At 39.8% G+C, this 10295-nt stretch overlaps 1 protein-coding gene across 1 annotated transcript; it reads right to left on the bottom strand.

The window, feature by feature from the left end:
• Positions 1 to 8406: 8406 nt before the first annotated feature.
• On the bottom strand, positions 8407 to 9699 carry POM121L12 (POM121 transmembrane nucleoporin like 12). The gene has a single exon (NM_182595.4). It carries the CDS (start codon positions 9658 to 9660, stop codon positions 8770 to 8772), a length of 891 nt encoding a protein of 296 aa, NP_872401.3. The 5' UTR covers positions 9661 to 9699; the 3' UTR covers positions 8407 to 8769.
• Between the last annotated feature and the right edge of the window lie 596 nt (positions 9700 to 10295).

Raw genomic sequence — 10295 nt, 5'->3', positions numbered from 1 at the left:
ATTAGGATTTTAAAAATACTCTTGTGGCTGTTTAATCCCCATTATTTTTCCGATGATAATTTCCTAAAATTAGAAAGAATACATTCAAAGCATTGACTTTTTAAGGATGTTTGACGCATACTGCTAAATTGCCTACTGGGAAGATTTTAATTGTTTGAAGTACTTGGAAGGATGAATTTCAGCGTGTCCTTAAATACATTGTGGATCAGCAGCCTTTCATCTTTGGTAGTCTAGTAGAAGAAAAAGAGCATCTCCAGTGTTTCTACTGCAGTCTTTTAAATTGTTTTTATTTACTTATCTTTTTATTTGTTATGTTTTATTTTTTTATTATCTTTTCATGTTTCTGCATACATTCTCCAGATAATCATTGTTATTTCTCTGATTGAATGCTGTGATATTCTGTACATGTTGATAAGAATTATACCTTCGTTATTTGGTAATTCCCTTCATTATACCAATGTACCTATGATCAATTTAACTATCTCATATTTTAAAACTGACATTTTCTGAAAATATTGCTACTCAGCTTTGTTTATATTTTCACTTGTATATAATATTTTCTTCATTGTAGTTTTCTGTGGTGCCTAAAGGGTGTCTTGATGTCATTTATAATTATTACCACTTTAGGGAATGGCTGGTTAATTTCTTAACTTTTGATAAATATCCCATGGTGCTGGAAAAGGCTGGCATTAGGGGAAACTGAGTAAAAGATATGTGGAAACTCTTCTATAAACCTACAATTATTTTAAAATATAAAGTTAGTATTATCATTTTTGTTTCAAAGCTGCGGACTGCCATAACTAGACTAAGAAAAACAGAGTAGAAAACTACACAAGAGACCTTGGGCAAAAGACAAGGAGCCTGTGCTGTGAGCACCGAGTCTGCTTGTGAACAGGTCAGAGCCATGAGCGGGCAATGACCGGGAAGGAAGACAGCAACACCCAGGCCCAGCAGGAGAATATTTGGAACAATCTGGACTCAAAACCTCAAGAACAAACGATCAGACCTGAGATAGAAATGAGAATTTAAAAGCAGGCATTTTGAAAGCAATGTCCTTGGATAGGGTTTATTTCTGTTAGTGTCCCTTTGGTGAAGAGTTAAGCTCTAATTCTGGGGGACAAATGCACCTCATCTTAAAGGATCTTCCTTTTCCTTCAGAGCATGCACTCCTTGTCCCTTTTTTATATAGTTTATAATTTGACCATCTGTTTGTCTGCATGTCTCTGTCTCAAGAACACTTAACACTAATCCTTTGTGAATTTTGAGTAGACTAACCACAAAGACAAATACACTGTTGAGCTCTCTGGGCTGGTGAGGCTGGGCTGGACCCTCTCCTTGTTTACTCACGCTCATCAATAGATGCTAGTGCAGGGCTGCTGCTGCTGGCGTGGATTGGGAAAGACAGAAATAAGAGAAAGCAAGACCATGTTCTATCAAAAGACCATTGACTTAAATGTAATTCTACCTTCAAAAACAGTGCACTTCCAACAGCTTACTATATTACTTCAAATAATTCTTTTTTGAAAGTTTAATGTAAAATATTTAAATTATTATAGCATAAAATTTCAAGCTTATGATGTGACCTATTGTTATAATTATTATTTTCCCAAATCACAAAATGTGGGGGATTATAATTACTTAAAGAATTTTTATTGCTTTTGCTGTTCAATAGAATAATTTCACATCTTGGAGAAATGTCATACATTTAGCTAAGGATATCACATTTTAAGAGCATGTAAGAGAAATCATTTTTGATAAAAAACATTCTTACATTTTTCTAAAATATAATAATGCACTTTTTAGGACTTCTGTTTTTCTAGAGAGTGCTAAAATTGGATGTAAGAATTCTGCAAAGAAAAAAGAACTACAACTTCAAGTACACTTTTAAAATACAGATACAAAAATATGCCTATTTTTCATAAGTAAGATTGAGATTTGCTCTGTGGTCACTGGTGGAGTGACTGAATATACTGATAAAATTATACTAAATCTATCACTTGCATTTGAAAAAAACTCATAACCAATAAAATTTGAGTTAATAGCATAATCAAACATTAAGATGATACTTTTTGCTCTTTTTGCTGATTTTCATTGCAATTATATCTAAAACATTAAATATTTGAGAAATATTTGGTCCTAGCAAACACATGAAACCCCAAATAATCTTGAAAATACAAATTTTAATTCTTATGTTACATTTTCTGTAAGAAATACTATTAGTTATTCTTTATCAATAGCTATGAATTAATCCCTGGAACTGTATTCTAGCTACTTTAATTTTTTTTAAGTTTCGGGTTTTTTTTTTTCCTGTTGATCAAGTTCACTCTCTTTATATTCTTCCTTTACTAGCTTATTTAATTCTGTGGATTTAACTATCATTCATTACATGAGAATTCTGAAATTTCTTCTTAAGCTAGTGTGCTGGCTTTCAATCTATGTTAATATTCATAATATATTATGTGTATGTGTAAGTATGTTTGTGAATACATATTGCTATATAAACTTATTCACATATATGAGGAGACTTCAAAAAGTTCATGGGAAAATGGAACTAAAAGATAAAAAATTTAAAAAATAGTGACTTTATTTTTTTAACATAAGCTTCATCAAGCTTAAGATACTTTTGTAATTAATGATAGCAGCCATTTAGTTCATCCTTAAAGAACGGAGACTTTTGGGAATTTATGTCAATGCTATCATTTTACATTATTAAATGAAGAAAAATGAGTGTCCTTTAAAGACTTTTTAAAATTAGGAAACGCAATGAAGTCAGAAGTAGCCAAATCAGGACCATAAGCTAAATTTTCCATGGAAACTTGCAAAACTGCCCATTTGTGATAAGAGGAATGAGCAGGAGTGTTTTCCTGATGGTGAAGGACTCTCTGGTGAAGCTTTTCTGGGTGTTTTTCTGTTAAAAGTTTTGGCTCGCTTTCTGAAAACACTCTCATAATAAGCAACAGTTACTGTTCTTTGGTCCTCTGGAACGTCAAAAAGGAAAATGCCTTGAGCATTCCCAAAATCCGTTGCCCTGAGCTTGCTCTTGACAAGTCCACTTTTGCTTTGACTAAGACCACTTCCACCTCTTGGCAGCCATTACATTGGTTTGTGCTTTGCCTTCAAGACTATACTGGTAAAGCCACGTTTTATCTCCTGTAACAATTCTTTGAAGAAATACTGTAGGATCAAGATCCTACTTGTTTAAAATTGCCATTGAAAGCTCTGCTCTTGTCTGCAGCTAATCTGGGCTCAGTGGTTTTTGGCACTATTGAGTGGAAAGTTTGATCAATTTTAATTTTTCAGTCAGAACCATGTAAGCTAAACCAATTGAGATGTCCATAGTGTTGGCTATTGTTTCTGCTGTTAATCACTGGTCCTCTTCAATTAGGGTATGAACAAAGCAAATTTTTTCCTTGCAAACTGATGTGGATGAACTGCCACTTTGGGCTTCATTTTCAGCATCATCTCCTCCCTTCTTAAAATAAGTTCTCCATTTGTAAACTGCCATTTTTCAGGCCATTGTTCACATAAACTTCTCATAAAGCGTTAGTGATTTCACCTTTCTTCTACTCAAGGTTCATCATACATTGGATGTTTATACTTACTTCAATTAATAGCAGAACTCATGTTACTCTGATAGGGGCTCTTTTAAAACTGATGTTTTATTCTTCTCAGTGCTTCAAACTAGATCTTGTACAGACATGTTCTAATAAGTTAGTATGCATTCATTTTGGTTCAAAACAAAACTGAAATGCATGCATAGTTTTCCACAATTATTCATTTTTCATGAATTTTTTGAAGATCCCTATATATACATAGTAGGAACATGTTCTATTTATACATGTCTAAGTGTACCTCTACTTCAAAAGTATTATATATATACACACATATATGCATCAAGATCACAATCTATTTACACATACAAGAATAAAAGTATCTAATTAGACACTCATTTCTCCTTTGCAACAGGCTCTCTTTAGTATCTAACAACCCTTATGCTGCTATCAGTTTAATTACACTTTTAACAGAAATTCAGTTAAATGTTCCATCAAACCTGTCCATGACAAAACTTTTAATTAATTATTTTGTGGAAGAATAAAACGTAAATGCAGAAAGAGCTGTTGCTTCTCTAAATTAGTTTAACAATTTGGGAAGACCTAAGTGGAGTTGCCAAAAACAATTCTGAATTACATGTGAGCAAATTACCTATAAAACACTGGGGGAAAAAATCTATAAGTAATCCGCATTCGTATTGTTTTGTAAATACTTAAATTCCGGTCTCACTTTAAAATAAATCAAACTATGATTTAAAAGGTGTCATATTGTGGGTATGGGTTATGCAGAACTTTGATTAGCAGACTCTTTCACGTCACAAAACTTGGATTTCTTATTTAAAATTTGATAACTATAACTTTATATTAAAAGTTAAAACAATATGTTGCTTTGTGATACCTCTTTTTAAGCAAAATGTTCAGTTTATCCAAAACATTGAGAGTAACAGGTAAAAAATTGTGTTTGTGTTTATCATATATAATTTATATGTGTGTATATATAACATAAATTTGCACACACATTTCAAGCTCCATTGTTTTCCGTAGTACTTTATGAAATTTTTTGTAATTTCCTTTAATATAATTTTATGTTACATGTATTATTCATGTGGTTGTATGCAATATTTTATTAAATATTAAAGTAAAATAGAAGTGGAACTCTTCTTATTTTAAAGGAAGTCCCCTGCCCTCTGAAATCACAGCCAACTAAGAGTGGCATTTAGGAGAAAAAGGAGAAAGAAACAGATGTCATGGTCATGGTAGGTTTTGGAAAAATGCTCCATCATTTCCTTTGGTTCCTTTGTCCCTTTCCTTTATCTGTACTGTCAAAGATTAACACTAGGCTAGTGGCTTTGCCAGTAATCCCAGCACTTCAGGAGGCCAAGGCAATGTAACAAGACTCCATCTCTACAAAAAATTTACAAAAATTTAGCAAGGCATAGTGGCTCGGGCCTGAAGCAAGAGGATTGCTTGAACCCAGGAGTTCAAGGCTGCCATGAGCCATGAGGTCACCACTTTACTCCAGCCTGGGCAACAGTCAGAGTTAGACCCTGTCTCTAAAAAACAAAACTAAACAAAACAAAAAAGACAAAATCAGCATGTGGTTTTGAAGGGAAAATAAAACAAGTGACTTAGAAATTAATAGTAGGGACAAAAGGAGTCCTTGTGGCTCCCATATGAGAAATAAAATCAAGCTTTTTAAATCATAAACTTCTTATCAGCTGTAACCATTTCTGTACGATGTTAGATATTTTTGTGCCAACGTCTAAGTCATAAAAATGCCTCCTTCTTTTTTCTATTTTTGTTCTTGTCTTTCTTGTTTTGTTAATGTATTTCAAAGCTATGCTATTTGGCCCAGTTCATGGCTCATCTCTTTATTGCATATTGAATCCTTTATTAAAATTAAATGACACTGCCAAAATAGAAGAATAATTAAAAAGTTACATGGAAAGATAATTTGCAGACTCTCATTCTGATCAATTTATCAAATTTACATGATATTATCTGTTTCTCCTACAAAGGAAGGATATTAGCAGACCTTGTTTTTGGCAATGATGAGTGGAAATTCCACATATATGTATTTCTCTGAATATATAGAACACTTTTGAGTATTTTATATGTTTATTAATAATTTGAACTATTTATTACATGAACTGCATAGTTATGTTTTTAGTGATTCTATGTATTCTCTATTTTTTTATCATTGATATTTAGTGATGTCTTACCATTGTGGAATAATAACCCTGGTCTGCTATGTGGGTTATAAAAGTAGCCTCCTCTCCTGTCACTTGTCTTTCAAGTTTTTATTCCTTGTAGATATTTTCCAGTGTATTATAACTGGCTCACACCTAATTCAGAAGAATTGTTTTGTTTAACTCTACTTAAGTGTTTCCAAATTATTAAGCTTACATGGAAATAAATAACTCTCTTTCTGCACTTACATTTCATTCTTCTATGAAATAGATTACCTATGTAACTAAAAAGTTTTTCATGGACTGGTTTGGTAACACATTTAAGTGAATTTATGGTAAAAGTGCAGTTAAATTGATAGAAGTATAAAGGCATTGGGCTACTAAAGAGATCCTGGGGCACAAGATATTTGAGTGTACTAATTATATACACATATTCCTAATTGGGAGTCCAACAGTTGCAATTCAATTTCTTCAGCAATTAATTATTTTCACAGAGATTTTGAATGTCACCATTTTCGTATATTAAGTTCTTGCATATCTGTTTCAGAATATCTGCTCTCTCCAAGGGATTTGTCTATTCACATCCCATTGCCAGGCCCTTGTGCTACAAGGAAGGAGGCTTCCTTTGCTACTGTTCACAGGGGAATCACTGTTCCTTAGCTATTGCAATGCTGGTGCACAGTAAAGAGTCCTTGCCCTCTTGCTAAAATGTACCCCTACATTCCAGATAAATACTCTGTTCCATAAGGTAATTGATCAACCACATTACTCTGAGATAGTGCTTTGAATTACCAGGTGAGCAATCTCTTTCCAGACTAATGAGTCCTTCCCAGTCCATTCCATTTCTGACCCAACCTCGCATCCTGTCTTCTCAAACCTCACACGGTCCCCTCTGAAACTCATGAGGAATCATCAGAAAATCCCACAAACCTTAACTTCTACAAATGTTCTCTTCACCTGCCCATCCTTAATTCATCTTGCCTGTGCACTGCCCCTCAGCTGAAAGCAAAGCCACACTTTTTCTTGAATTCCAAGACCTTCATGGCTTGGACAAGAGTGTAGATACCATTCTTATTCACATTTGCCCCCTATCCTTTCTTAAAAGAAAATCTAAAGACAAAGTAAAATTCCTCCAGCAGTCTTATTGCCCGCTTTACTTCACAACCTAATATCTCCTAGTGGCTTCTACAGTCCCTGACTCCAAGCCTGATGATATAGTTTGGATGTGTGTCCCCTCCAAATCTCATGTTGAAATGTAACCACTGATGTTGGAGATGGACCTGGTGGGAGGTGTTGGATCCCAAGGCAGATCCCTAATGAATGGCTTGGGGCCATTCCCTTGGTGATACATGCCAGCTGATCTTTTATAAAGACTCTAGGACTTCCCTGCTCTCTCCTTGCTTGATACCTGTCTCCATGTGAGGCTCACCCTTGGCCATCCGCCATGGCTGGAAGCTTCCGGAGACCTCACCAGAAGCCAGTGTTGGCACCACACTTCCTGTATAGCTTGCAGAACAAAAATTAAACTCTTTTCTTTCTAAATTACCCAGTCTCAGGTATTCCTTCGTGGCAATGCAAACGGACTAACACACCCTCCCTTCCTTCCATCTCCCATGCAGTTCAGGCTTCCCACTTCCAACACTCTAAAACAATTTCTCTTCTGAAATCAGGGAAAGAACATCTCTTCTCAAAGGCAGCCACCGTGGTGGATAAATTCCATGCTCTGGAATCCTCAGTGTCCCTGCTGCTCCTGGATTTCCTTCTCCCTCATGGTTCTTGGTTTTGAGGGTTCTTCTTTCTCCATTCTCCGATCTTTCATGTTGTAAATGTTGGAGTACCCTAGGCTTCACCCTTGCCCTTCTCCATATTTTCTGCATAAGTGATCTCAAGTAGCCTGTGGTTTTAAGGACCATTTCTATGTCATAAGGAATTTATATGTTCATGATTCCCAGATTTATTTTGCCAGGTTCAAACCCTCCAATGAGTTTCAGGATTATTTTTTTCTATAGCACAGTTAACAGGACCAGCAGCATAGCAAGTGTTTTTGTTGTTGTAGAGAACACGCCCTGAACAAAACTCCTGATTTCTTCAAATATTTTCTCCTATTGGTAGTGTCCATCCCGATAAATGACACTATCATCATCCAGTTTCTTAAGCCCATAAGCTAAAACTGTTGGACCCTTCCCCTTTCCCAGTGCTAACATCTAGGGCACTAGCAGGTCCCACACTATCTTTTAGTTCAACCTCAAACTTGTCTGTATCCTTCCAGATGTAGCATTTGCCTCTCAGACCAAACCATCCCCATGGATTGCTTGAAATACTGTATTGATCTCCTATGGTTTCCATTTCCATTGCTGTAGCCAGAATCGTGTTTTTAAAAATATCAACCAGATCATAGACTGTCCTCTGCTTAACACTCATGGTTTTAGAATAAACCCTGTACTCTGGTCCCAATGCCTTATAGTACTTCATCACAGTCTATTTCTCTAACCTCATATCTTCTCTCTCACTAGTCTCCAACTCTACTGGACTTATATTTGGACTTCAAATAAATAGGAATTATTCCCCATACAGAATCTTTGCCCTTGCCCCTGCCTGGAACACACTTTGCCCTTTCTTTTGGCATAAAAAGCTTTTTTGATTGTTATTATTATAAATAGATTTTCTGCAGACAAATGTTTTTAATAAGATCAAATATTTAACTATACAACTGGACAATTTAACTATACAAACTGGGAGACATGGAGAAAAAGCAAGCCTTCCCGAAATGCCTCTTTTCAGAGGAAGGGCAGGAAGAAGGGCAGGGAGGAGAGGGCCAGCAGGGCGAAGGCAAGGGTTCTGAAATCAACAGCTGCTGGGGTGGCAGGGAGCACAGAGGGAAGATCTGGGGGCGGGCAGACGAGGGGTGTGGGGGCTGCATGTTTGATAACGTGGTGTCAGGGCCCCACGTTGAGGTAGAGCAAGGATGAGCAAGTGAAAGTAGATACGTGGGCTTGTGTCTCCGGAGGTGGGTAGCAGAGCCCAGATTCTTAGGAGCCAAAGGGGCCAGCAGACTGGGTGACCTCGAGGGCGAAGGAGACCCTACTGCAGCTGCCGCAGGAAGGCGTTGTCGCCTCCCAGAAGTCCCAGATGGCGGATGGGGCGGGCTGGACCAGCACGGAAGGCCAAGCATCATCACAAAAACTGAGGCTCCAGGGGCCGAGGCTCGGCTTCAGAGGCCCTGGCCTGGGCACGAAGGAAGCAACCGCTCCATTTTTGCTCAGGGGCTTGAAGGCAGAGGGCCGGGGCTGCAGGTTCCGCCTGCCACCCTTGCTGTCTGAGACCTCGAACCACAACGGCCCGTCGAACCTAGCGCTTCCCTTGGGGCACTGGCTGAGCGCCCCCAGCAGAGTCTCCCGGGTGCAGGGGTCCAGGAGCTCCTGGGCGGCGGGGCGGCCTGCGGGGCGGGCTCTCTGTCCAGGGGATCTCCAGGGGCTCTCCTGACGCTCAGGGGGCGCGATCCCGATGGTCACCGGGCTCCAGGTCCGTCCTGGGTTCCAGGCACGACACAGCCCCCCTTTCATGCAACCCTCCCAGGCACAGGAGAGGTCTCGCCCCAGAGCGGTCTCCCCGGGAAGGGCAGGGCGCCTCCAGCCCTCGGAGACCACCCGCTGCGGCTTGGCGGGGTCCTGGGTGGGCCGCACCTCGATGAGGTGGGTGCTGGGCACCGGGCGCCCCCACTGGAAGTACTGAATATGGCTCTGAGTCAGGGACCTCAGGGGCCAGGGACTCTGGCGACCCTGGGGAGATGGCGTGGTCTGGGGCGTGCTGGGTGACCTGCTCATGGGAGCCGCCAGGGCGTCGGGGCCTTGCAGCAGGGGTTCTCCCGCCTTCCAGAAGTTCCCGAGGTCTGCGGACTCGGCCGGAGCTGCAGCGCCCATGGCTGGGGGACCGTTGGCCTCTGGGCGCTTGGAAGGCACGAAGGACATGGGCGCGGGACACTCCACAATGGCGCCACGCGCAGGCCACGTGCCCAGAAACCCAGACTGCAGGAGGACACTGGAGGCACAAGCCTCCTTCCAGGTGCTGCCGGCAAGTTTGCCTCTGGAGAGAGGGGCCTAGGAGCTACCATGGTCTCCTGTCCTCTCCTCCTCCCTCCCTCTCCCCTTTCTCTCTGCTCCCCCTCCCGCTCCCTCTCCTCTTAGCTCCTCTACCCCTCACTCTCCCTCCCCTCGTCTGCTCCCCTTCCTCCCCCTCTTGTGATGTCGTTCATATACCAAATAATTCAGCAACTTGAAGTGTAGAATTCAATGGGTTTTATGGTACAACCACACATGTGCACCCACCACCACATTAAATTAGAAAAAAATTTTCATCACCTCAGGAAGAAGCTTTGTACCCTGTAGCTGTCACCTTCCTATCCACCTATCCACCCGTCCCCGCAAGCCGCAACAACCAGGAATCCACTTTCTGTCTCTGTAGACTTCCCTCCTGTGGGCTCTCCTATGGCATCACTTAGCATGATGATTTCTAGGTTCATCCTTGTGGGGACCTGTTCATCCTTCTTTTTCATGTC

The sequence above is a fragment of the Homo sapiens genome, chromosome 7 (genome assembly GCF_000001405.40).
Source record: "Homo sapiens chromosome 7, GRCh38.p14 Primary Assembly".
Lineage (NCBI taxonomy): Eukaryota > Metazoa > Chordata > Mammalia > Primates > Hominidae > Homo > Homo sapiens.
This window is presented reverse-complemented; position numbering and strand designations above follow the sequence as displayed.